The following is a 26,126-nucleotide window of genomic DNA, read 5'->3' on the forward strand; positions in this document are numbered from 1 at the left end:
AGCCTCCCAAGTGCTGGGATTACAGGTATGAGCCACCACACCTGGCCTGACTGGCTTTTTTATGCCAAATAATATTCCATCATATGGATTGGATATACCGTGTATCCATTTTAGTAGTTGATGGATATTTGGGTTGTTTTTACTTTTTGGCTATTATTAATAATGTCTGGTTAGGCTGGGCACAATGGCTTACTCCTATAATCCTAGCACTTTGAGAGGCCGAGGTGGGCAGATCACCTGAGATCAGGAGTTCGAGACCAGCCTGGCCAACATGGTGAAACCCCATCTCTATTAAAAATACAAAAATTAGCCAGGCGTAGTGGCATGTGCCTGTAATCCTAGCTACTCTGGAGGCTGAGGCAGGAGAATTGCTTGAACCTGGGAGGCATAGGTTGCAGTGAGCCGAGATGGTGCCACTGCACTCCAGCCTGGGAGACAGAGCAAGGCTCCATCTCAAAAGGAAAGAAAAATAATAATGCCTGGTTAAAGAACTCAAGAATGTTGGCTATCAAGACAAATAGTATCCACACTGCAGTTTTGTGGGAATGTCCTAATCAGGCGTCTGGGGATCAGCTGCTTATTTTTATTGGAACATGATCATGCTAATTAATATTTCATTACCCATTATAGGTTGTCTCCGGATACTTTCATCCAAGAGTTGAATAGTTGTAACACAGATTGTGTGGCCCAAAAGCTATAAAGTATTTACTCTCTGGCTTCCTGGCCTAATCTGTTGTTGAAACCTTGAGTTTTAGAAGAAGTCTTCATGTTTAAATTCTTTTTCTTGTTTTTGGGCAGGCAGAGAACATTTATAATGATGAAGACCCTGAAGGAAGCGTGGATCCAGAAGGACAAGGGTCCTAGATATGTCTTTACTTGTTGTGATTTTAGACTCCCCTTTTTTCTTCTCAACCCTGAGAGTGATTTAACACTGGTTTTGAGACAGACTTTATTCAGCTATCCCTCTATATAATAGGTACCACCGATAATGCTATTAGCCCAAACCGTGGGTGTTTTCTAAATATTAATAGGGGGGCTTGATTCAACAAAGCCACAGACTTAACGTTGAAATTTTCTTCAGGAATTTTCTAGTAACCCAGGTCTAAAGTAGCTACAGAAAGGGGAATATTATGTGTGATTATTTTTCTTCTTATGCTATATCCCCAAGTTTTTCAGACTCATTTAAGTAAAGGCTAGAGTGAGTAAGGAATAGAGCCAAATGAGGTAGGTGTCTGAGCCATGAAGTATAAATACTGAAAGATGTCACTTTTATTCAGGAAATAGGGGGAGATTCAAGTCATATAGATTCCTACTCGAAAATCTTGACACCTGACTTTCCAGGATGCACATTTTCATACGTAGACCAGTTTCCTCTTGGTTTCTTCAGTTAAGTCAAAACAACACGTTCCTCTTTCCCCATATATTCATATATTTTTGCTCGTTAGTGTATTTCTTGAGCTGTTTTCATGTTGTTTATTTCCTGTCTGTGAAATGGTGTTTTTTTTTTTGTTGTTGGTTTTTTTTTTTTTTTTTTTAACTTGGGACCACCAAGTTGTAAAGATGTATGTTTTTACCTGACAGTTATACCACAGGTAGACTGTCAAGTTGAGAAGAGTGAATCAATAACTTGTATTTGTTTTAAAAATTAAATTAATCCTTGATAAGAGTTGCTTTTTTTTTTTAGGAGTTAGTCCTTGACCACTAGTTTGATGCCATCTCCATTTTGGGTGACCTGTTTCACCAGCAGGCCTGTTACTCTCCATGACTAACTGTGTAAGTGCTTAAAATGGAATAAATTGCTTTTCTACATAACCCCATGCTGATGGGTTTTATTTAGTATAAAACATCCATCAAACACCAGTCTCTGGCTTCTAGAAGAGTCCTTCAGATGACAGTTGTTGTCCATGGTCTTTGACTATCAAGAGCAGAATTAAATGTAATAGTCCCAGAGCTGTAGAAAAGAACTTTACTCCTTCCCAGGGAAAGTGAAAGACATAAAACACTGAATCAGAGGTGGCACAGATTAGTCTTTGATAAGGTAACGTTTCTTTGAAGTCTATCTGTAGAGAACTACATGGACTTCCAAGAGTGTCAAAGGCAGTGTGGTAGAGAGAATTTAAGGCAAGATTTAAATTTGGAAAAGGTGCTTGAACCTTTTCTCAGAGGTTTTATTTCCCCAGTATGTTTTTCACTGGGGCCTTTACTTAGGTTAGAAATAATAGGCTTTGAAGGCCTCTATCACCAGATGCAATAACCAGATAAAATTCCTGTTTTTTCCCAATCGCTTAGTTTTTTGTTGTTGTTGTTTTTTAACTGAGTAGATCATTCTGACCCAGAACTACTTTCATGAGGTAAGATCTTTGGGAAAATCTGAATAGCGTTAACCATTAGATTCAAATCTCAAATGGTTTCTTTTCAAGTCTAGTTGTTTTAGAGTATAGTGAGAAATACCTTGACACAATTTTAAGAGTAAACTATATGGGTCAGCATATCCTTGAACAAAAAGTAGACTTTGTAAAAGTATTCATTTAAATTCTAACACTCGTGGCACAAAAGAATGGAAATTGTAAACCCATGTAATGGAAATTGGCTATCTTTTTGACCCCACATGTGCCCCTCAAAAATGTTTTTGGTTTGGGTCAACACAAGGCAAGATACATTCTTTAAAATACTCCCAGATGTGTCCATACATTCATCCTTCACTCAGTGCATATGTGAGGGTTGTTGCTGGAAGACAGGAGGCTCATCTTTCCTTTCCTTGGTGCATTGAGATCAGTATCAACAGCAGATGAAATAGAATCCAGCAAAGAGTTGACATGTTCTGCCTCCGGCCAACTCTAGAATCTTTTTAAGCAGGTCAGCCAGTATTTGCAACTTCCACAGGATGAATTGCTTGCCAAGTTTCTGGCACTCTTGTCTGGTTGGAAGAGTACATCCAAAGGGTACTTAGTGATCCTTTGCTAAGAAGTTTTTTGCTGTTTCCGGGTTACAGATTTGGCCATATATTTCTAAACAGCCCCTGTAAAGTTGAAAGAAAAAGTTTATAACAGTGAACTTCTGAGGTTTAGTTACTGCAGGCTTTGTTGAGAAGAGATTGTTACAGTGTGATTTATGGATGATCAGGGATGACTTTCCCCTAGCAAATATTTGGATGCCTCCTGTTTGTCAAATAGAATGAATGGTGATGGTGATGGGAGGGATAGTTAAACGTTTTCTCTGCTAGGTTAACTTCTTACAGGTATAATTACAATGCCTGAAATTCTGTAGTTTCATTTCTTTGGATTAGTCGTTGTCTTTTCCAGATTGTACACAATCTGATCAACACAAAGGTAGTTAGTAGATCATTAACCTCAATTGCAAGGTTATAATTTCTCAAACATTAAGCATATTATCAGTCATGTGGATTCAAACACAGTATAAGAAAATCCTCAAGGCTGGGTGTGATGGCTTATGCCTGTAATCCCAGCTACTTAGCAGGCTGAGGCAGGAGTATTGTTTGAACCCAGGAGGCAGAGTTGCAGTGAGCCAAGATCGTGCCACTACTCCAGCCTGGGCAAAATAGCAAGACCCGACCCCCCATCTCTACTAAAAAGAAATTTAAAAAAATAAAATCCTAGAAAATTAGAAAAAGCAACAATAGTTACTTGTGGGCCAGGCGCGGTGGTTCACGCCTGTAATCCCAGCACTTTGAGAGGCTGAGGCACGTGGATCACAAGGTCAGGAGTTCAAGACCAGCCTGGCCAAGATGGTGAAACCCCGTTTCTACTAAAAATACAAAAACTAGCTGGCCGTGGTGGCATGCTCCTGTAGTCCCAGCTACTCAGGAGGCTGAGGCAGGAAAATCACTTGAACCCAGGAGGTGGAGGTTGCAGTGAACTGAGACCGTGCCACTGCACTCCAGCCTGGGTGGCAGAGCGAGACTGTCTCAAAAAAAAAAGAAAGTTGTGAATTTGATGTAAGCTTAGGAAATGAATAAAATTTATAGGCATCTGTATAATGTACAACTTGACACGGACTTTCTTTTATCCTTAGTTTCTTTCACGGACTCTAGAACTTTTATCAGAATATACTGGTAAAACATTGGGGGAGGGATCCTGAGTAGGTGATTGGTCAGAAAGATGCCTTCAGTTTTGTCAGTGTCTAAAAGTTAAGTCTGTTTAGGCCAAGCATGGTGGCTCACACCTGAAATCCCAGCACTCTGGGAGGCCGAGGCAAGTGGATCACAAGGTCAGGAGATGAGACCATCTTAGCCAACATGGTGAAACCCCGTCTCTACTAAAATACAAAAAAATTAGCCAGGCGTGGTGGTGCGTGCCTATAATCCCAGCTACTTGGGAGGCTGAGGCAGGGGAATCGCTTGAACCCGGGAGGCAGAGGTCACGCCACTGCACTCCAGCCTGGCAACAGAGCAAGACTCCGTCTCAAAAAAAAAAAAAAAAAAAAAGAGTAAGTCTGTGTAACATGAACATCTCTGCTTCCACCCAAAACCACAGCCTTTGAATATTATATAAGGAACTTAATGGATAGATATGTTTATTATTTTTGATAGCACAACTGCTTTCTCTGCTATTATAAGGAAAACTGAGAATAGCAGGTGGGTAGGGTAGGATGAGGAAACAAGATGCCCAAAGCCTAGATGCCACAGAATTCATGGTGATAATCAGGGCATATTTTGAGTCCTACTAGAAACAAACATTCCAAATGAACTCTGAATGCCTGACTCAGGCGTTTTGGAGGTTTGGGTTATCCCCTTGTCATTAGGCACACAAGGGTTTTTTGTTGTTTTTGTTTTTTGGGTTTTTGTTTTGTTTTGAGGCAGTCTCACTCTGTTGTACAAGCTGGAGTGCTGTATTGTGATCTTGACTCACTGCAACCTCTGCCTCCTGGTTCAAGCGATTCTCCTGCCTTGGCCTCCTGAGTAGCTGGGATTATAAGTGCCTGCCACTATGCCCGGCTAATTTTTGTATTTTTAGTGGAGATGGAGTTTTGCCATGTTGGCCAGGCTGGTCTTGAACTCCTGACTCCAGGTGATCCACCCTCCTCAGCCTCCCAAAGTGCTAGGATTACAGGCGTGAGCCACCCCGTCCGGCCTGTTTTTAAGGCATTAATTAGTATTGTTAGGAAAGCAGTAACAATGCAAACACCACTCTTCTCTTCACAAAGATCACCTTGAGACTGTGTCTCCATTCCACCTGCCTGAGAAGTGGGAGCATCAGCCTGTTCCAGGCTCTTGGGTAGTAGCATAGCCCTTTAAAAAGAGAGAGCCATTTTCCATGTGTTTTTGGATAAGCACAATTTGAAAATCATTTCCCAAATCCTCTTTTTGTTTTTGATTCTAAGGTAAAATTTTCCCTAAGCCCTCCCACCATCCCCTCAGCCAGTATTAGATGAGATTTGTATAGCAGCAGAAACTGACTTATAAGTAGAGAGCTCTTCAGCAAGACTGAGCCTTAGCTGTTCCATCTCTTTGTTCTTCTGTTGCTGGAGTTGCACCCCATTTCTTAACTGCCTCTGGCGTTCTTCCATTTCCTCCAGCTGTTCCTGCATGAGATGGCCAAGAACATTTCTAATGAGCCAAACAATAAAAACTCACATTGTCCACTCTTACTTATAAAACACTTTTTTGTTCATTGTTTAATCTTGATAGCAGTATTGAGGCTGGTATTTATATGATAGGTTATGAAACAGGTTCAAAGAAGTTGTGTCTTGGAAAAAAAGTGACAATGCTTTTGAAAATGATGACGAAAAAGGCATCTTGTCTGTTAACCACAGCTTGCTTTAATAGAATCCTGGGAGGGTGATTGGGACTTTTTAGTATTACAACCTTAGTGTCATTGAGGAGGATTTTGGTCTAGTTAGTGGGCTGAGTTTCATATACCTCTCCCTCCATGTGCAGGTTTGTTAAGATAATTGGTAGTTTTTAATAATATAAAATACTTAAGTTGAAATACAAAAGTGTGGCAACAATTATTAAATATTGGCTAGAATTCTAGGAGAGTTACACAACTAGTGGAAGTCCATGTTTAGAAAATAAATGGCTTGTTTAAGGAAAAGTTTTTGTGTCCAAAGCTCCTTAAAGTCAGAGAGATTTCTACCTGGTACTTAACATCATATGGAAATTGATGCTTTAGTGAGGGTGTTGGCTATCCTATTGCTAATTTCCTGCATCCTTTTTTCTTCTTTATTTTTGTATAGAGACAGGGTCTCGCTATGTTGCCCAGGCTGGTCTTGTTCCTGGGCTCAAGCAGTCCTCCCGCCTCGGTCTCCCAAAGTGCTGGGATTACAGGTGTGAGCCACTGTGCCCAGCTTATCCTTTTTTCATTACACAAAAAGACTGAATTTGGTTAGTTCTAAGTTGGAAGATAAAGATGGTATGCACAGGAGGCCCTTGGGAGCCCTCAGATAACTTTCTCATTCTTCCAGAATCAGGCTGGGATGCATTCTGTAAATTTTCCCTGCCTAGGATGTATACCTGAGGAATAAGGTAAGGAAGATGTCAGCAAGTCAGTCTCTGGTTTACCTGCTAGCTGGCATGGATCCTTAAGGAAGCAGGAGGGAGTTGGGAAGAGAGGAAGGGGTGAAGTTGGTATCTTTTAAAGCGAGAGTGATTTTACCTCAGATTTTGAAGAATACTAAGGAATCCAGTTGTTGGGGTACATGCTATTATTAGAAGGATCTAGATAATTTGTCCTCTGAGTCATACTTGACATTGTACCTGTGGCACATCAATCCGCACTGTTTGATACTCTGGCTGAATCTCAGCTTTCACCAACATTGTCAAAGGACCTTTTTTAGTGCCCAGCCATGCCTAAGAGTGTGTCATCTGAAGAGGGAAGCATCTGCATACTGCTGTCCTGATTGCTCAGTCCTCACTACCTACCAGACCCGTTGGTAAGGTACAAAAGTACATGCTTGGAAAAGCAGTCTGCACCACCAGTGATAAGCTGTGACAGAGTGGAACAGCCTCAATGAAATGAAGGAAGGATTGCTACAGTGGCATTAAGGATGGTCTCTTAATCCTGTGTTAACCACTAGATTAACTTTACAATCAACTCAAAATCCTTCAAAGGCTTTCCACTTTCTTTAGTGGCATTCAGACCCCCTCTAGTTTGACCCCTACCTCCAACTTGAACCTCTGTTACTCTTCCGTATGAACATTTTCCTCTAGCCCTGGACTACTAGTACCGAAGTCACTAGTCACATAGGACTCATTTGAAATATGACTAGTCTCAATTGAGATGTAATGTAAGTGTAAAATACACAGCAGATTTCTAAGACAGCACACAAAATGTAAAATATGTCAAAAATATTTGATACTGATTACATGTTGAAATATATGTGTTGGGTTAAATAAAATGCATTAAAGTTAATTTCATCTGTTTCTTTTTTTAATAGAGCTACCAGAACATTTAAAATGACATCTGTGGCTTGCTTGCAGTGATAGACAGCACTACTCTAGCCTAACAACTCAGATCTGTGTGCCTGTGTTCCTGCCACTTTTTTCACCTAGACAGCCAGTCCCTTGTTTTCTGCTGCCTTCTACCTAGATACTAATTTCTCAAGGGCCAGGACATGTCTGTCTACAGTTGCCCCAGCACTTGCATTGACAGCATTGCCAGTTTTAATTTTCTACATAGGACAAAGACAAAGAAAGGATACATTCCCCAACTCAGGAAAAGGGGAACTGCTACAGCAATAGTAGTATAAAGTAACAGGTGCTGTGGAAACAGGAGGGTTATCTGTCGCACACTAAGGATATCGGGAAACTTCAGGAAGAAGGGAAATGGGTTTAAAGGATGAGTAAAGAGTTAAAGGGGAAGAAGAGGTCTAATCAATGTATAGTCATGGAATTGTGGGAAAGTGGCTTACTAGTTCATTCCTTGCAACCCTATGGATATGGGAGTATTATTAATCTCATGTTTCATGTGAGGGTGCTGAGCCACAGAGCTTAAGTAATTTGTCCAAAGTTTCCAACTTAGTGATAGAGCCAGGATTTGCCATTGGCTTAGAGCTCATACTCAAGGTAACAGGCTTTTTAGTGGTTCTCAAACTTTTCTGTGCAACCCCAAAAGCTGGCCAAATTGGAGTGCCCTTGGTACTTTTCCGTTAGAGAATAACTCCGCTTTTAACTGCTTTATATATTGCATTCTATGTAAAATTATCTGGGGGAGAAGGTCCACAGCTTTAGAGAAAACTTTAGTTTTGGAAACCACTAGTCTAAAGAATACATAAAACTGGCCAGGCACAGTGGCTCATGCCTGTAATCTCAGCATTTTGGGAGGTTGAGGCGGGTGGATCATCTGAGGTCAGGAGTTCGAGACCAGCCTGGCCAACATGGTGAAACCCAGCCTCTACTAAAAATACAAAAAATTAGCCGGGCGTGGTGGCAGGTGCCTGTAATCTCAGCTACTCGGGAGGCTGAGGCAGGAGAATTGCTTGAACCTGGGAGGCGGAGGTTGCAATGAGCTGAGATCGTGCCATTGCACTCCAGCCTGGGGGACAAGAGCGAGACTTCATCTCAAAAAAAAAAAAAAACCATAAAAGTGTTTAGTAGGCCAGGCACGGTGGTTCACGCCTGTAATCCCAACACATTGGGAGGCCAAGGTGGATCACGAGGTCAAGAGATCAAAACCATCCCGGCCAACGTGGTGAAACCCCATCTCTACTAAAAATACAAAAATTAGTTGGGCATGGTGGCACACGCCTGTAGTCCCAACTGCTCAGGAGGCTGAGGCAGGAGAATTGACTTGAACCCGGGAGGCAAAGGTTACAGTGAGCCAAGATTGCGCCACTGCACTCCAGCCTGGAGACAGAGCGAGGCTCCGTCTCAAAAAAAAAAAGAAAAAAATGTTTAGTCCCAGCTGGATCTAGTTAACATTCCTTGTGATTCCACCACTAAGCTCACTTCCCAAAACATGTCTTTTTGTGTTTCCATGCTTTTGTATGAGCTGTTCCCTCTGTCTGGAAGACCTCTCCCTTACCTGCCCAGTGAATTATTATTATTATTATTATTATTATTATTTTTTGAGATGGAGTCTTGCTCTGTCGCTCAGGCTGGAGTGCGCTGGCACCATCTTGGCTCACTGCAACCTCCAGCTCCTGGGTTCAAGTGATTCTCCTGTCTCAGCCTCCCAAGTAGCTGGGACTACAGGCGGCCTAATTTTTGTATTTTTAGTAGAGACGGGGTTTCACCATATTGGTCAGGTTGGTCTTGAACTCCTGACCTCAGGTGATCCACCTGCCTCGGCCTCCCAAAGTGCTGGGATTACAGGTGTGAGCCACTGCTCCTGGCATGAATTCATTCTTAAGGTTCAGCTCCAGCATCTTGAAGAGCCTGAGTATGGACTCAAGCTAGATTGTTCAGGAGTTACATCCTCGCTCCATCACTCTCAAGCTGCCTAACCCTGGGCAAATCACTGCTCTGCCTTACCTCTGTCTTCTTATTTTTCAAATGCCTTATACCTAACTCATAGAGATGTAAGGACTAAAGGAATTATTTTGTGTAAAGAACTTCAAGTACATACTAGCTATTGTTGATCTATGAAATGTCCCCTCTTTTGCCCAGGCTGGGGTAGTCATGCCTGTTTTCATCAGGACAGTGCCTTATCACTACAGCTATTACAGTGCTTATAACATTGAAATATGTTTAATTGATGCCAAGACTGCCACATTTTAACATCTCTGATCAGGATGCATGTTAAAATCAACAGTGCTTAGATTTTACGAAATACATTCATTTTGTCTGTTATGCTTCCTTCTGGAGTACAAACTTTTTTTAAGGCGGAGTCTTTGTCGCCCAGGCTGGAGTGCAGTGGCGCGATCTCAACCTCCACCTTGCGGGTTCAGGCAATTCTGCCTCAGCCCCCGAGTAGCTGGGATTACAGGCATGCACCACCACGCCCGGCTAATTTTTTGTATTTTTAGCGAGACAGGGTTTCACCGTGTTAGCCAGGATGGTCTCGATCTCCTGACCTCATGATCCACTCGCCTCTGCCTCCCAAAGTGCTGGGATCACAGGCATGGGCCACTGCACCCGGCCTCTGGAGTACAAACTCTTTGAGGGCAGGAGCATTACCCCCACCCCGCAACACACACACACTTTTTTTTTTCTTTTCTGAGACGGAGTCTTGCTCTGTTGCCAGGCTGGAGTGCAGTGGCGCAGTCTCGGCTCACTGCAACCTCTGCCTCCCGGGTTCAAGCAATTCTCCTGCCTCATCCTCCCGAGAAGCTGGGAACACAGGCACATGCCACCACGCCCAGCTAATTTTTGTATTTTTTAGTAGAGATGAGGGTTTCACCATGTTGGCCAGGATGGTCTCGATCTTTTGACGTGATCCGCCCGCCTCGGCCTCCCAAAGTGCTGGGATTACAGGCGTGAGGCACCTCGCCTGGCCTTTTTTTTTTTTTTTTTTTTTTTTTTTTTGAGGTGAGTCACTGTCACCCAGGCTGGATTGCAGTGGCACAATCTCAGCTCACTGCAACCTCTGCTGCCCAGGTTCAAGCTATTCTGCCTCAGCCTCCTGAGTAGCTGGGATTACAGGTGCCTACCACCATGCCTGGCTAATTTTTTTGTAGTTCTAGCAGAGACAGGGTTTCACCATCTTGGCCAGGCTGGTCTTGAACTCCTGACCTTGTGATCCACTGCGCCCGGCCACACATACTATTTCTAATTGCTATTGCCAGCACATAGCTCACTGCCTGGCCCACAGTAATTAGGCACTTAGAAACTGTTGAATTGATGAAGGTGATGATAGAGGCAACGTTAAGAGTGGAGTGCAGCCTAAGGATTAAAGGGACACCCTTAGGAAGTAAGCTGATGGGCCGGGCGTGGTGGCTCATGCCTGTAATCCCAGCACTTTGGGAAGCCGAGGCGGGCAGATCACAAGGTCAGGAGATCAAAACCATCCTGGCCAACGTGGTGAAACCCCATCTCTACTAAAAATACAAAAATTAGCTGGGCGTGGTGGCGTGAGCCTGTAGTCCCAGCTACTTGAGAGGCTGAGGCAGGAGAATCGCTTGAACCCGGGAGGCAGAGGTTGCAGTGAGCCAAGATTGTGCCACTGCACTCCAGCCTAGCAACAGAGTGAGACACCGTCACAAAAAAAAAAAAAAAAAAGTAAGTTGATGAAATAGAACTTTAGCAAACAGTTTAGGAAGCCATTTCAGAAAGAAAAATTAGGGACCTCAGACCTTGCTTCCTACTTTAATGATGGTATAGCAACAAGAGAAGCTATTATACTACCAAGAGTGTATCAGGCCAGATAAAGTGGCTCACACCTGTAATCTCAGCAACTCGGGAGGCTGAGGCAGGAAGACCAAGACTTCCTCTCAATAGAGAAAGATTCATTTGATAGAGATTAGATAGACTTCTGAATATTCTTTTTAAAACTTTGTGTCATAAGATTATCTTTGGAAAACAATCCTTGGGAAGATGCACAAATCGTCAAATCTGAAACCATCTTAACCTCTTCCTTAGAGTAGCTTTCTAATTATTCTCCATTGCTCTGCATCTCTAGCCCACTTTATATCCTGCCACCAGTACTTCTTGTAATCCCAGCACATTGGGAGGCCGAGACGGGTGGATCACGAGGTCAGGAGTTGGAGACCAACCTGGCCAAGATGGTGAAGCCCCATCTCTACTAAAAATACAAAAATTAGCGAGGCCTGGTGGCGGGCACCTGTAATCCCAGCTACTTGGGAGGCTGAGGCAGGAGAATCACTTGACCCGGGAGGCGGAGATTTCGGTGAGCCAAGATCATGCCACTGCACTCTAGCCTGAGTGACAGAGCAAGACTCCATCTCCAAAGAAAAAAAAAAAAAAAAGTAGAGAGGCAGGCAGTGGCTCAAGCCTGTAATCCCAGCACTTTGGGAGGCCGAGCCAGGCAGATCACCTGAGGTCAGGAGTTCAAGACCAGCTGGCTAACATGGTAAAACTTCATCTCTACCAAAAACACGAAAATTAGGGCCGGGCGTGGTGACTCATGCCTGTAATCCCAGCACTTTGGGAGGCCGAGGCAGGCAGACTGCCTGAGCTCAGGAGTTCAAGACCATCCTGGGCAATACGGTGAAACCCCGTCCCTACTATACAAACAATTGGCCGGGCTCAGTGGCTCACACCTATAATCCCAGTACTTTGGGAGGCCGAGGCAGGTGGATCATGAGGTCAGGAGATCAAGACCATCCTGGCTAACATAGTGAAACACTGTCTCTAATAAAAATAGAAAAAATTAGCCAGCTATGGTGGCATGCACCTGTAGTCCCAGCTACTCGGGAGGCTGAGGCAGGAAAATCGCTTGAACCCAGGAGGCAGAGGTTGCAGTGAGCCCAGATCATGCCACTGCACTCCAGCCTGGGTGACAGAGCGAGACTCCTTCTCAAAAAACAAAAAAAAACAACAAAAAAAATTTGCCAGGCGTGGCACTGTGCACCTGTAGTCCCAGCTACTCGGGAGGCTGAGGCAGGAGAACTGCTTGAACCCGGGAGGTAGAGGTTGCAATGAGCCGAGATCACGCTATTGCACTCCAGCCTAGGCAATAGAAGAGACTCCGACTAAAAAAAAATTAGCCACGTCCATGGTGTTAGGCGCCTGTAATCCCAGCTACTTGGGAGGCTGAGGCAGGAAAATTGCTTGAACCTGGGAAGTGGAGGTTGCAGCAAGGCGAGATCGTGCCACTGCACTCCAGCATGGGTGACAGAGGGAGACTCCATCTCAGAAAAAAAAAAAAAAGTAGCAAGGCAATCATGTTACTTCCCTGATTAAATCCCTTTAATGATGCAGCAGACTACTGAATAAAGTCCAAAACTCAAGCTTGTCACCTGCAGCCAAGTTACTAATTATATTTCAGATATGTTGAGTTAGATAAAATATATTTAAATTAATTTTACCTATATCTTTTCTCCCCTGCTCCCCTCAGGCTTAGCTCAGCTGAATTTTTGCCTATTTTAATGTGGCTATTAGAAAATTTGTAATTATTTATGTGACTTGCATTATATTTCTGTTGGGCAGCACTGGTCTAGATTCTCCCTATGCTTTCATACCTAGCTCAAATTCCACCTCTTTTTTCATGAAGAGTTCTCTGATTTAACCAGCGCCTAAAAATAATCTATCCCGGCCGGGCGCAGTGGCTCATGCCTGTAATCCCAGCACTTTGAGAGGCGAGGCGGGCGGATCACAAGATCAGGAGATGGAGACCATCCTGGCTAACACGGTGAAACCCCGTCTCTATTAAAAATGCAAAAAATTAGCCTGGTGCGGTGGCGGGCGCCTGCAATCCCAGCTACTCGGGAGGCTGAGGCAGGACAATGGCGCGAACCCGGGAGGCAGAGCTTGCAGTGAGCTGAGCGCCACTGCACTCCAGCCTGGGCAAGAGTGACAGACTCCGTCTCAAAAAATAATAATCATCATCATCATCATCATCTATCCCACAGCCCTTTTACCTGCACCTCTCATAAATCACCTATTACTTTCTTCTCTGAGATACAACTATTAATGTAATGTCTGTCTGAGTATTGGCTGTTAAGGATAGTATTGATGCTAAATAAATGACTTTTCACTAGACTGTGAACCAATTTTTTAAAAAATAGGGTAAGGGGAATATGAAGAGTTTAAAAACATTCAGTATTACTTCTGGGTGTGGTGGCTTACGCCTGTAATCCCAACACTGGGAGGCTGAGGCCGGTGGATCACCTGAGGTCAGGTGTTCGAGACCAGCCTGACCAACATGGTGAAACCCCATCTCTACTAAAATACCCAAATTAGCTGGGCATGGTGGCACAGGTCTGCAATCCCAGCAACTTGGGAGACTGAGGCAGGAGGATTGCTTGAACCCAGGAGGCAGAGGTTGCAGTGAGCTGAGATCATGCCACTGCACTCCACTGCACTCCAGCCTGTGTGACAGAGCGAGACTCTGTAAAAATAACTGGGAGGCTGAGGCGGGTGGACTGCCTAAGCTCAGGAGTTTGAGACCACCCTGGGCAACATGGTGAAACCCCATCTCTACTAAAATACAAAAAATTAGCTGGGTGCAGTGGCGGGCACCTGTAGTCCCAGCAACTCAGGAGGCTGAAATGAGAATTGCTTGAACCCGGGAGGTGGAGTTTGCAGTGAGCCGAGATTGGTTCAGTGCACTCCAGCCTGGGTGAAAGAGCAAGACTCTGTCTCAAAAATAAATAAATAAAGATAAAAATAAAAAACATTCAGTATTATGACCCCAAAAACCACAGTGTTTTTTTTTTGTTTGTTTGTTTTTGTTTGTTTTTGAGATGGAGTCTCACTCTGTCACCCAGGCTAGAGTGCAGTGGTGCAATCTCAGCTCACTGCAACCTCCGCCTCCCGGGTTCAAGCGATTCTCCTGCCTCAGCCTCCCAAGTAGCTGGGACTACAGGCATGTGCCACCATGCCCCCCTAATTTTTGTCTTTTTAGTAGAGACGGGGTTTCACCATATTGGCTATACTTGTCTCAAACTACTGACCTTGTGATCCACCCACCTCAGCCTCCCAACCAAAGTGCTGGGATTACAGGCGTGAGCCACCGCTCCCAGACAGAGTGTTTTCATAATACAAACTACAGAAAGCTTGACAAAATCTTCAGTGAAGTGAATGCAGCCATTTCAACAGGGAAACTTGTTCCCTTAAGGGCATATCACAATCTCTGGGAAGACATAGATTTCTAAGTTTATCCAAAGGAATCAGTGTTTCAAAAGATTAAAGTACTGCTTAGAGCACCACACTACAGTCTTCTCATTAGTGCCCAGCAGCACATGTGCTCTGAGCCTTGAGTAGCAGAGAGTAATACAACAATAAGTAAAATGTATTCCCTACCTTCTGAAAGTTCACAGTCTAGGAGGGACTACGTAATTGTTTATTCACTTAGTATTTATATCCCACTCTGTTCTAAAAAGGGATTAGAACTGGCTCACACTTAATCAGAAATAACTTGAATGCAAGAGAGATGGGGACAAATGCACATAAAAGGAAAGTGAAGATGAGAGGATTCTATTAAGGTTGGTGCAAAATTAATTGCAGCTTTTGCCATTAAAAGTACTTGAGCCCAGGATTTCAAGACCAGCCTGGGCAACATGGCAAAACCCTGTCTACAAAAAATACAAAAATTGGCCGGCTGCGGTGGCTCACACCTATAATCCTAGCTCTTTGGGAGGCCAAGGCAGGCGGATAGCTTGAGCTCAGGAGTTCAAATCCAGCCTGGGCCACGTGGTGAAACCCTGTCTCTACAAAAAATTAGCCAGGTATGGTGGCACACACTTGTAGTCCCAGCTGCTTGGGGGCTAAGGCAGGAGGATCGCTTGAGCCCAAGAGGTTTGAGGTGCAGTGAGCCCTCAAGATTGCACCTGTCTCAAAAAAGAAAAAATTAGCTGGGCATGTTGGTGCACAGTTGTGGTCCCAGCTACTCAAGAGGCTGAGGTGGGAGGATCGCTTGAACCTGAGAGGTCGAGGCTGCAGTTAGCTGTGATCATGCCACTGCACCAGCCTAAGTGACAGCAAGACCCTGTCGCAAAAAAAACAGAGTGCAGGCCGGGCGCGGTGGCTCACACCTGTAATCCCAGCACTTTGGGAGGCCAAGGCAGGCGGATCACGAGGTCAGGAGATCCAGACCATCCTGGTTAACAACAGTGAAACCCCGACTCTACTAAAAATACAAAAAAATAGCCGGGCATGGTGGTGAGCACCTGTAGTCCCAGCTACTCAGAAGGCTGAGGCAGGAGAATGGCATGAACCCAGGAGGCAGAGCTTGTAGTGAGCTGAGATCGCACCACTGCACTCTAGCCTGGGCGACAGAGCGAGACTCCATCTCAAAAAAAAAAAAACAAAAAACAGTGCAGATAACTTCTAGTCCCTAGCATGGGCCTGAATGAATGAAGAATGGAGAAAAAATTGCGTGGCCCCAAAGAACAAATTTTTCTTCCTACATGTGACACTATCTTTCAGCCCCAAAGACCTTGGACTCTGGCCACTCTTTCCCCAGGTTAAAAGACCTCAGTTCTTTTCATGCCCAATGGGCCTACCCTGTACTGCTGCACCTCTTCATCTCGTTTTTGCCTCACAAGTGCGATCTGGTCCTCCAGGTTCCTGTTTTGCAGGCGGAGCTGCCGGGCCTCTGCTTGCAGGGGTCTCAGAGCCTCCTTCATTTCCTGGATCTCAGCCTGGGTTCTCTGCAGAGCTTTGGTCCCAGCTTCTTTCCTCTCTAGGAGCCGCAGGAACTGAGGCTCATACTCCTCCTCCAGGTCCTGGCGGCTCTCTGCCATGAGATTTTCAAACTGGGCAGAGAGTCGCCGGCTTTCCTGGAGAAAGTGCCCATCCCTCTGGCTTGGAGGGGCTTCTAGTTGTTGCCGCAGCTGCTCCTTCTGCTTCTGATAGGCATCCCGGAGCTGGGCCAGTTCCTCTGAGAGCTGGGTTGCCCTTGTAGTCAGCACTTCCCGGAAATCGGCAAACTGAGCCACGTCCTGCTGGCGGCACTCCAGCTGGTATTGGTAGGCCACACATTCCTTTGTCACTTTGAAAAGCTTCTGCTTGACCAGCCGGATCTCCTCCCTTAGGCCATCTCTCTCCAGCTCTGCTTGGGCATGGAGCTTGTAGGCAGCCAGGATGTCTTGATGGACTTGCTGTACCTCCTGCAGGGCTGGTTCCCGGAGCAATACAAGCTCATGGATGAGCTGATCCCTCTCCTCTTCCAGCTGGGCCACAGCTTGGACACACTGCTGGAAACGCCCCTCTAGCAATTCCAGGTCCTCTATGCTCAGGTTCTCCTCCATGCTGGGGCTCTGCTCGGCTCTGAGGCTCTCCTCAGGGTTAGATTTCTCCGCCCTTGTGACTGTCTCTCCCTCATAAACAACGTGCTCTGGGCTTGTGGGCTTTCCTGGCTCCACGGGCCCCTCCACAAACTGTATCCGATCTGGCTCCGTGGTTTCCTCCACACACACTGTCTCCTCTGGATTCCCAGGCTCCTCCACATGCAGAGCCTCATCTGGCTGCATGGCCTCCTCAATATACAGGGCCTCCTCTGCCTTCTCAGTCTCTTGCACATAGAGTGTCTCATCAAGGTCACCTGTGTCCTCCAGGTAGAGAATGTCTTCGAGGTTTAAGGACCCCTCTGAAGATAGAGTAACTTCTGGGTTCAAGGCTTCTGCCTCATTTAGGGATCCAGAGTTCTTTGGAAGAGGAGAATTGGCCTCTACTCTTGTTTTCCTGCAAAAGAAATGATTGAAAGTGAAAGGGCAGCCACAATCCCAGGATGGTGCAATTCTGGAGCCAGCAGCCATGGGCCTAGACTACCTCAGGTTCTTAGATGTCAGCAGCCATTCGTCTGCTCCCTCCACTCTGTCAATCCACCCCTCCACACACCCAACCACGGTGTAGATCCCCTGCCAGCATCCCAGCGACATCACCATATGGTCTCTGCTTATGCAGCTCCAAGGACTCGACATACCTGAGGCACCACTGTTTGTTCCACAATTATAATAATTTTTTTTTTTTGAGATGGAGTCCCGCTGTATTGCCGAGGCTGGAGTGCAATAGCGTGATGTCGGCTCACTGCAACCTCTGTCCCCCAGTTCATGCGATTCTCTTGCCTCAGCCTCCCAAGTAGCACCACCACGCCTTTTTTTTTTGAGACGGAGTCTTGCTCTGTTGCCAGGCTGGAATGCAGTGGTGCGATCTTGGCTCACTGCAGCCTCCACCTCCCAGGTTCAAGTGATTCTCCTGCCTCAGCCTCCTGAGCAGCTGGGATTATAGGCACACATACCACCACGCCCGGCTAATTTTTGTATTTTTAGTGGAGATGGGGTTTCACCATGTTAGTCAGGCTGTTCTCAAACTCCTGACCTCATGATCTGCCCGCCTCGGCCTCCCAAAGTGCTGGGATTATAGGCATGAGCCACTGCGCCCAGCCCAGTTCTAATAAAATTATAATGTTGAGGTAAAACCTTCCTTATAACTTTTTTTTTTCTTTGAGATGGAGTCTTGCTCTGTCACCCAGGCTGGAGTGCAGTGGTGCCATTTCAGCCTCCACCTCCCAGGTAGGTGGGACTACAGACACGTGCCATCACACTCAGCTGATTTTTGTATTTTTAGTAGAGATGGGGTTTTACCATGTTGGCCAGGCTGGTCTCAAACTCCTGACCTCAAGTGATCCGCCCTCTTCAGCCTCCCAAAGTGTTGGGATTACAGGCATTGAGCCACCATGCCCAGCAATTCCTGGTAACTTTTAGCCACTGGATTTACCTGATTCTTCCTTCTAGGATCAGATATTTCTACCTTCTTTTCTGTGTAAGTTATCTAAACACTTAAAGAGAACCATGGTCGGCCAGGCGTGGTGGCTCACACCTGTAATCTCAGCACTTTGGGAGGCCGAATCAGGCGGATCACCTGAGGTCGGGAGTTCAAGACCAGCCTGACCAACATGGAGAAACCCCATCTCTACTAAAAATACAAAATTAGCCGGGCGTGGTGGTGCATGCCTGTAATCCCAGATACTCACTGAGGCAGGAGAATCTCTTGAACTTCAAAGAGGCAGAGGTTGCAGTGAGACGAGATTGCACCATTGCACTCCAGCCTGGGCAACAACAGCGAAACTCCGTCTCAAAAAAAAAAAAAAGATAACCGTGGTCAAGTGCGGTGGCTCATGTCTGTAATCCAGCACTTTGGGAGGCCAAGACCTCTTGAGTCCAGGAGTTTAAGGCCAGCGTGGGCAACATGGCGAAACCCCATCTCTACAAAAAAATACAAAAAATTAGCTGGGCATGATGGTGTACACCTGTAGTCCCAGATACTTGGGAGGCTGTGGTGGGAGAATCACCTGAGCCTGGGAGGTCGAGGCTGTGCTGAGCCATGACTGCACCACTCTGCACCCCAGCCTGGGCAACAGAGACCCTGTCAAAAAAAAAAACAAAAAAAACCCAGCTTATCTTTGTTATTCCATACATGTCCAGGTTTCCAGTGCCCTCTTCATTTGTGTCATATCCTTGTGACACAAATGACAGCTTTCAGACTGTCACTCTTTTGAGGATTTTTTTTTAATTTGCCTTTATTCTTAAGTTCCCCAAGAGCTAGAAATTGGGATGGGTATCAAAAACAGTGCCCCAGGGCTGGGCGAGATGGCTCACGCCTGTAATGCCAGCACTTTGGGAGGCCAAGACGGGTGGATCACCTGAGCTCAGGAGTTCGAGATCAGCCTAGCCAACATGGTGAAACCCCGTCTCTACTAAAAATACAAAACTTAGCAGGGCATGATGGTGCATGCCTGTAATCTCAGCTACTCGGGAGGCTAAGGCACAAGAATCGCTTGAACCTGGGAGGCAGAGGTTGCAGTGAGCCGAGATCACACCACAGCCTGGGCGACAGACCGGGACTCCATCTCAAAAAAAAAAAAAAAAAAAAAATGCCGGGCGTGGTGGCTCACGCCTGTAATCCCAGCACTTTGGGAGGCTGAGGCAGGCGGATCATGAGGTCAGGAGATCGAGACCATACTGGCTAACACAGTGAAACCCCGTCTCTACTAAAAGTACAAAAAAATTAGCCAGGCGTGGTGGCGGGCACCTGTAGTCCCAGCTACTCGGGAGGCTGAGGCAGGAGAATGGTGTGAACCTGGGAAGCGGAGCTTGCAGTGAGCCCAGATTGCGCCACCGCACTCCAGCCTGGGCAACAAAACCAAACTCTGTATCAAAAAAAAAAGTTTTTCATACCAAGTGCTTGTAAGCAACATTTCTTGTTTCTGTAAAAGTTCATCTTGTTAGAACTGGCCCACCCTTCTATCCTGTCAAACGCTCTTGAAGTCAGATTCCATCATTCTGACATCTGAGCTCTTTGACCCAGCTGCCTATTGCCTGCCAGCTCAGTCAGTTCCCACTGGGGAGTGTTCTCTTGCTGCTTTGCCCCTCAAATGCAAATAGCTTTGGTCTTTCCTGTTTCTGTTTTTTTGTTTTTGTCTTTTTTTTTTTTTTTGAGATGGAGTCTCCCTCTGTCGCCCAGGCCTGAGTACTGTGGCATGATCATAGCTCACTGCAGCCTCAACCTCCCCGGCTCAAGCCATCCTCCTGCCTCAGCCTCCCGGGTAGCCAGGACTACAGGCACGTAGCGCCACACCCGCTAATTTTTTAACTTTTTGTAGAGATGAAGTCTCACTATGTTGCTCAGGCTGGTCTCAAACTCCTGAGCTCAAGCGATCCTCCTACCTAGACCTCCCAAAGTGCTGGGATTACAGGCATGAGCCACCACATCCGGCCACAGGCAAGAAATCTTCAGACAGCTCTTTCCCTCCCCTGTATAGCCAGTTCACTGAGAAGTGACTTTTCTTTTCTTTTTTTTTTTTTTTTTTGAGATGGAGCTTCACTCTGTCGCCCAGGCTGGAGTGCAGTGGCGTGGTCTCAGCTCACTGCAACCTCCTCCTCCTGGGTTCAAGTGATTCTCCTGCCTCAGCCTCCTGAGTAGCTGAGACTATAGGTGCCTGCCACCACGCCTGGCTAATTTTTGTGTATTTAGTAGAGACAGGGTTTCACCATGTTGGCCAGGATGGTCTCAATCTCCTGACCTCGTGATCCACCAGGGATCATGGCCTCCCAAAGTGCTGGGATTACAGGCACGAGTCACTGCGCCTGGCCAAAAAGTGACCTTTCTATCTTAGAAAGACTACAGTCTCCATCCCCCTCTTCTGCATCCCACTATCAGGGCCCTACTCCAAGACATCCTGTCTCACTGGCACTTTTGTCCTGGTCTTCTAAAAGGACTTCCTCCTCTCCTCACCTCAATCTATTCTCTACACCACCACAGTTAACTTGCTACAACACAGAGTGAACTATTGCTCCACTTCACCAATAAATACCCAAATTGCTACGCATGGTTTCAAGGTCCTTAAAGATGTGGCCCAAACATACCTTTTTTTTTTTTTTTCTTTTTTTGAGCCAGAGTCTCGCTCTGTTGCCCAGGCTGGAGTGCAGTGGTGCAATCTCGGCTCACTGCAACCTCCGGCTCCTGGTTTCAAGCAATTCTCTACCTCAGCCTCCCGAGTAGCTGAGACTACAGGCGCCCACCACCATGCCTGGCTAATTTTTTGTATTTTTAGAAGAGACAGGGTTTCACCATCTTGGTCAGGCTGGTCTCGAACTCCTGACCTCATGATCCGCCTGCCTCGGCCTCCCAAAGTGCTGGGATTACAGGCATAAGCCACCACACCCGGCCCCAAACATACCTTTTTTAGCTTCCTCTCACATTATTCCTGCAACCCACCCAATGCTTGACATCCTAGAGCTTGCATTAACTTTTTACACCTCCTACTCTAAGCCCACGGTGTCCAGCTGAGAATTGCAGCTTCTCAAAAACCACCTAACTAGAGAACCCTGTACTACCTGGGAAGGCAGAGCTCCTAGAGCCAGGGCCAGGAAGGATGCACCTGCTCAGCCAGCCAAACTCACTCTGATATTCAACAGTCCCTGCTTTCCCAGCAGACGGCCCTTTCATCATTCTCGTGCCGAGCCGCCCACCTTGGAATGACTTCACCGTGTTCAAGATTATTCTAGGCATTTTACATGAATACTCATTTATAGAATCCTCATCATCTATTGGCTGGGTGCAGTGGCTCACGCCTGTAATCCCAGCACTTTGGGAGGCCGAGGCGGGTGGATCACCTGAGGTCAGGAGTTTGAGACCAGCCTGGCCAACATGGTGAAACTCCGTCTCTACTAAAAATACAAACGATTAGCTGGGTATGGTGGTGTGTGCCTGTAATCCTAGCTACTCAGGAGGCTGAAGCAGGAGGATTGCTTGAACCTGGGAGACAGAGGTTGCAGTGAACTGAGATTGCGCCATTGCCCTCCAGCCTGAGCAACAAGAGCAAGACTCTGTCTCAAAAAAAGAAAGAAAGAAAGAATCTTCATCTATTATCTCCATTTTATAGATGAGGAAGCCAATGCACAGAGTAAGAACTCACACAAGGTTCCACAACTGTTGTAAGTGGTGGAGGCTGGAGAAGGCCTGCAGTATTTACCACCCTCCTAGGATAGGCGTGAGGTCCAAAAGAGGTAACTACAGCACATATAAAAAGCCTGGCATGCAGCAGTCACAATATACTTTTTTTTTTTTTGAGATGGAGTTTCACTCTTGTTGCCCAGGCTGGAGTGCAATGGTGTAATCTCCGCTCACTGCAGCCTCTGCCTCCTGGGTTCAAGCAAGTCTCCTGTCTCAGCCTCCCAAGTAACTGGGATTACAGGCACACGCCACCACGCCTGGCTAATTTTTGTATTTTTAGTAGAGCCGGGTTTCACCATGTTGGCCGGGCTGGTCTTGAACTCCTGACCTCAGGTGATCCGCACACCTCGGCGTCCCAAAGTGCTGGGATTACAGGCGTGAGCCACCGCGCCGGGCCCACAATATACTTCTATCTATCTAACAAATTTCTACTCATCCTTCAAGCCCTGCTCAAACTTCATCTCTTCCGTAAAGTATCTCCCAGACAGCCCCATGTGTGTTCTCAGGGCACTCTGTATGCAGCACATCTTCACACTTATTGCTCCAGTTACAGAAGTACATGTGTCTGTCTCCCTGATAGTGAGTTTCCTAAGGACAAGCAGAGTTCTCATTCTGCTCTATATCCTAGGGTGGGGCTCTGTAAGGGCAGACAGGCAGAAACCAGATGAACTCCAAGGAGGAAATCTGCCCAAGGTCGAATGGCAAAGCTGGAAGTAAAACCCAGGCCTCCTGACCTCCAAGCTGTGCTGTTAGCACACATCGTGCTGCCTCCACCACCCCACCCATGGTGCCAGGCCTCTGCTGGGTGCTGCCCTCACACAGCCGCCTCTTTTAAACAGAGAGAGGAGGGAAAGAAGCAGATGACAGGAGGCTCAGAGGAGAGGAAGCCAGCTTAGTTGGGGCCCCTGACCTCGGGCTTCCTTGGGCCCTGGGCAGCCTGCCTCTGCCACTCTGTCCCTGTCCCCAGAGAACCGCAGAGCTCTCCAACCCTGTTCAGGGATGTGGCTGGGAGTCCATGTGACATTGTGCAGGCAAGAGTCCGTGTGTCTGACTGTAGCTGTAGGTGTGGACAGCAGTATGGGTGAGTGTGTGTGTGTAAGACCGCTCAGCTTTGTGCCCCTGTGTGACAGTGAAGGGGTGTCGGGAGCTATGTATTTGCACCCTCACCTCTTGGTACACTGGGAAGTCCCAGAGCCACAGTATGACCTGGGACAGAAATACACCTCACCCCAAACCCCTCAGCCACAGGTCCCTTCCCCCAATAATCAGCCGTGCCCTGCCAGGAGGGATAGTGGGGAGGGCCCCTGGACCCTTCCCCCACCCATCCCAGGCCAGACGGGAGAGAACAAGCCCTGACAGACTCTTAACTTCAAGCTGGCAGATGCCCAGCCTTGCACCAAGTGGCTTCCACACAGCCACTTCAGCAGGGGAGGCCTCTGTCTCCAACTGACATTTGCAGGGAGGAATGAAGGCTAGCGAGAAGTGTCTTTGGCTGCTATGGGCCAAATGGCACTTGAGCGGTGGATGCCCACTCGCCTGGAAGGGTTAATTTTCATGTAGTCCCGGGAGGGGGAGGGGTATTATAAAAAGCCACAGACAAACGGAGGTGCCAGGACCCCGGGACGGCCCGACTCCCCGATGTCCCCTCACGAGGCGGCTCCAGTGCCCCACCCCGGCTGGACCACTACCCCTAGACAGGCGAAAGACGCCCGCGGTCGGGGGGAAAGGGAACCCGTCCAGCAGCACCCCTTCCCCAGCGGGGCGGCGACGCGGGCCCGGCACTGTCCTACCTCGCGGCCTGGGCGGCGCCGTCCCCGCCGCGCCGGGGCTCCGGGCTGGCCATGGCTGCGCGACCCCGGGCTGGCGGCCGCGTTATTAATAGCCGGGCCCGCGGGCCCCTCGCTCCGGCGCCCGCGCCCGCCGCACTGCCAGCTGCAACCGACACCGGATCCCGGCCGGCCCCGGGCCGGGCGCGCCCACTTGGCCGGGGCTCCTGCCGGGGGAGGAGGGAGCGGCCGCGCGGACCTGGGGGCGGGGAGAGGCTGCCCCTCCCGGACCAGCCTGGGGCGGGGGTGGGAACGGGGGCCTGGAGCTGTCTTTCCAAACCTCCCAGCCCCCTCGTCTTCCCGAACCTTCTCTCCACCCTTCCTTTCGTGAGGTCCCGTTGCAGGGGGAGTCAGAAGGGGGGTCTGAAGCCCCAGGGAGCACCTTCCCTGTCCAGCCTGGGAGGGTGGAGGCAGGGTTGGGCGGGCTGCTCAAAGGGAGCCAGCACCCCTCTCCCGCGAGTGTTTGGGGGTGTCCGCTGCCGCTCAGCGCCCTCTGGTCCCCACCCAAGAGGGGAAGGGCCGCAGCCACCCTCTGGGCACTCCGGGCTGTCCCCGGCAGCTGTCGTGAAGGGCGGGGCAGGGCGCGGCCGGGGAGGAGGGTTCACGGCCACACCCCGCGCGTTTGGGGACAGCCTGGAGCCTGGGGGCGGGCTGGGTGGCTGGGGTTAGAGAGAACTGCGGAGGAGTTTACGCCTATCACATTGAGTCCATATTTAACCCCACTTTCTGCCCCACCCTTTGAGGCTTCCTGGGGTCTCTCTCCTGCTCCACCTGTCACCCCACTCAGCCCACTTCTGTCAACTTCAAGACATACCTCCCCCCACGTCCTCAGCCCACTAGTGTGAGGGTCAAACCAGCACTGACGTCTTTCTCCCCAAGAGAGAAGCTGCTGGGCCCCTTCCCAGACCTGGGCTTCAGGCGTTCTTCCTTCGGATTCCTTTTTCCACTTAGCTACCCTGTCTGGGGAGGTCTTTGACTCAATCGCAGAAGAATGCTGGCACCATAACAAGCCCCAGGGGCTGGGGTGCCTGGGAGGCCGGTGGGGGAAGCATGCCGTGGTGTTGAATGTGTGTGGGCTTGTGTGCCCCTGTGTGACTCTGCGGTGATTGTGGGGTACATGTCTGTGTGTGAGCATGTGGATGTGTGATTGTGTGATCTCAGGGTGAATGTGTGTGGTGATTGTGCCATGGTGGAGTGTCTTTGTGGGGCTGGCGGTTTTGACTCTGTGTGGGGGGCATGCATATGGTCCCGCTTGTGACTCTGACTGTGTGCTTGTGCGTGACTGGGGGTTGATAAATGTTCATTCATCCTCGCGTCTGAGTGTGCTGCCTGTGGCTGTATATTTATATTTCTCTGTCTAATGCAAGGGGGTGGAAGATTTAACACCCAGGGCAGCCAAATATACCCTTGTAAGGTACGCACGAGAAAAAGCCAGGTTTTGAGGCTGCTGGTCATTTTCTGACTTACCCCCGAACTATTCCAGGGGAGGAGGCTGGCGAAGCCTCAGCTGCTGGGCATTTGACATCTGCTGCCCGCCAGAGGAGAGCTAAGGCAGCAAGGGCAGGCCTGCCAGAGGCTCTGTTTGCTGTGGTACCAAGCAACAGGCGGCAAGGGTGGCATTCAGAAGAGCTGGCTCTGCCCCTCCAACCCCCAGCCCAGGACCTGGCCTTAGGCTGTCCCTAGGACTGAATTTCTGACCCGCTCCTACCCTCCTGCTCAGCGCTTCTTTAGGCTGAAACCCTGAATTCCCCAGGGTCCCAGAAACTTCCCCACCTCCAAGCCTTTGTTGTTGTTTTTTTTGTTGCTGTTGTTTCTTGCAGTCAGGGTCTCACTCTGTCATCCAGGCAGGAGTACGGTGGTGCAATCATGGTTCACGGCAGCCTCAACCTCCTGGGCTCAGGTGATCCTCCCATCTCAGCCTCCCGAGTAGCTGGAACTACAGATGCACACCACCACACCTGGATAATTTTTGTATTTTTTGTAAAGACGAGGTCTCACTGTGTTGCCTAGGCTGGTCTCAAACTCCTAGGCTCAAGCAGTCCTCCTACCTCAGCCTCCCAAAGTGCTGGGATTACAGGAGTGAGCCACCACACCCAGCCAGGCCTTTTCTGCTGCTCCCTCTGCCTAGAAAACCCTTTCCAGCTCTTCACAGCCCACCTTTTACTCTCCTTCAGGTCTCAGATCACATCTCACAGAGGCCTTCTCTGATGCCTCCCCACCCCCTGCCCATAATGTCCACCCATTTATTTTTTTGTTATGGGCTTTTTTGTTTTGTTGGGTTTTGTAAAATTTTATTTAATAGAGATGGGGTCTCACTATGTTGT

General features: G+C 47.9%; 2 protein-coding genes across 11 annotated transcripts in view, besides 6 other annotated features; one reads left to right on the forward strand and one right to left on the reverse strand.

The window, feature by feature from the left end:
* The window catches only part of RBBP4 (RB binding protein 4, chromatin remodeling factor), a 35,004-nt gene extending 27,634 nt beyond the window's left edge, over positions 1-7,370 (forward strand). For all 3 annotated transcript variants that reach the window (NM_005610.3, NM_001135255.2, NM_001135256.2), the window contains exon 12: positions 799-7,370. In NM_005610.3, coding sequence (NP_005601.1) covers positions 799-864 — 66 coding nt within the window. In that variant the 3' untranslated portion in view covers positions 865-7,370. The remainder of the gene's footprint in view (positions 1-798) is intronic.
* On the reverse strand, positions 1,065-24,752 carry SYNC (syncoilin, intermediate filament protein). 8 transcript variants are annotated; one of them, XM_047431210.1, is made up of 5 exons: positions 24,710-24,752; positions 16,024-17,203; positions 5,417-5,541; positions 5,169-5,248; positions 1,065-3,019 (listed from the first exon to the last, which is right to left on the reverse strand). In XM_047431210.1, exons 2-5 carry the CDS (start codon positions 16,990-16,992, stop codon positions 3,009-3,011), a joined length of 1,185 nt encoding a protein of 394 aa, XP_047287166.1. In that variant the 5' UTR covers positions 16,993-17,203; positions 24,710-24,752; the 3' UTR covers positions 1,065-3,008. The 8 variants fall into 8 exon arrangements, with proteins under 8 accessions (XP_047287166.1, XP_047287186.1, NP_110413.3 ...); XM_047431230.1 differs by lacking the exon at positions 24,710-24,752 and adding an exon at positions 24,109-24,138; NM_030786.3 differs by lacking the exon at positions 24,710-24,752 and adding an exon at positions 23,767-23,929.
* Positions 10,001-10,501: an enhancer, noted in NCBI's record as "H3K4me1 hESC enhancer chr1:33154443-33154943 (GRCh37/hg19 assembly coordinates)". NCBI's record gives its function as "activates a minimal SCP1, AML or CMV promoter by ChIP-STARR-seq in primed H9 embryonic stem cells {active_cell/tissue: H9 hESC(primed)}" and the evidence as "EXISTENCE:reporter gene assay evidence [ECO:0000049][PMID:30033119]".
* Positions 15,842-16,580: an enhancer, noted in NCBI's record as "H3K27ac-H3K4me1 hESC enhancer chr1:33160284-33161022 (GRCh37/hg19 assembly coordinates)". NCBI's record gives its function as "activates a minimal SCP1, AML or CMV promoter by ChIP-STARR-seq in naive H9 embryonic stem cells {active_cell/tissue: H9 hESC(naive)}" and the evidence as "EXISTENCE:reporter gene assay evidence [ECO:0000049][PMID:30033119]".
* Positions 23,397-24,162: an enhancer, noted in NCBI's record as "H3K27ac-H3K4me1 hESC enhancer chr1:33167839-33168604 (GRCh37/hg19 assembly coordinates)". NCBI's record gives its function as "activates a minimal SCP1, AML or CMV promoter by ChIP-STARR-seq in naive H9 embryonic stem cells {active_cell/tissue: H9 hESC(naive)}" and the evidence as "EXISTENCE:reporter gene assay evidence [ECO:0000049][PMID:30033119]".
* Positions 24,163-24,928: an enhancer, noted in NCBI's record as "H3K27ac-H3K4me1 hESC enhancer chr1:33168605-33169370 (GRCh37/hg19 assembly coordinates)". NCBI's record gives its function as "activates a minimal SCP1, AML or CMV promoter by ChIP-STARR-seq in naive H9 embryonic stem cells {active_cell/tissue: H9 hESC(naive)}" and the evidence as "EXISTENCE:reporter gene assay evidence [ECO:0000049][PMID:30033119]".
* Positions 24,289-24,338: a silencer, noted in NCBI's record as "silent region_605". NCBI's record gives its function as "represses an Ori minimal core promoter by ATAC-STARR-seq in GM12878 lymphoblastoid cells {active_cell/tissue: GM12878}" and the evidence as "EXISTENCE:reporter gene assay evidence [ECO:0000049][PMID:35858748]".
* Positions 24,389-24,478: a silencer, noted in NCBI's record as "silent region_606". NCBI's record gives its function as "represses an Ori minimal core promoter by ATAC-STARR-seq in GM12878 lymphoblastoid cells {active_cell/tissue: GM12878}" and the evidence as "EXISTENCE:reporter gene assay evidence [ECO:0000049][PMID:35858748]".

The sequence above is a fragment of the Homo sapiens genome, chromosome 1, assembly GCF_000001405.40.
Source record: "Homo sapiens chromosome 1, GRCh38.p14 Primary Assembly".
Taxonomy (NCBI): domain Eukaryota; kingdom Metazoa; phylum Chordata; class Mammalia; order Primates; family Hominidae; genus Homo; species Homo sapiens.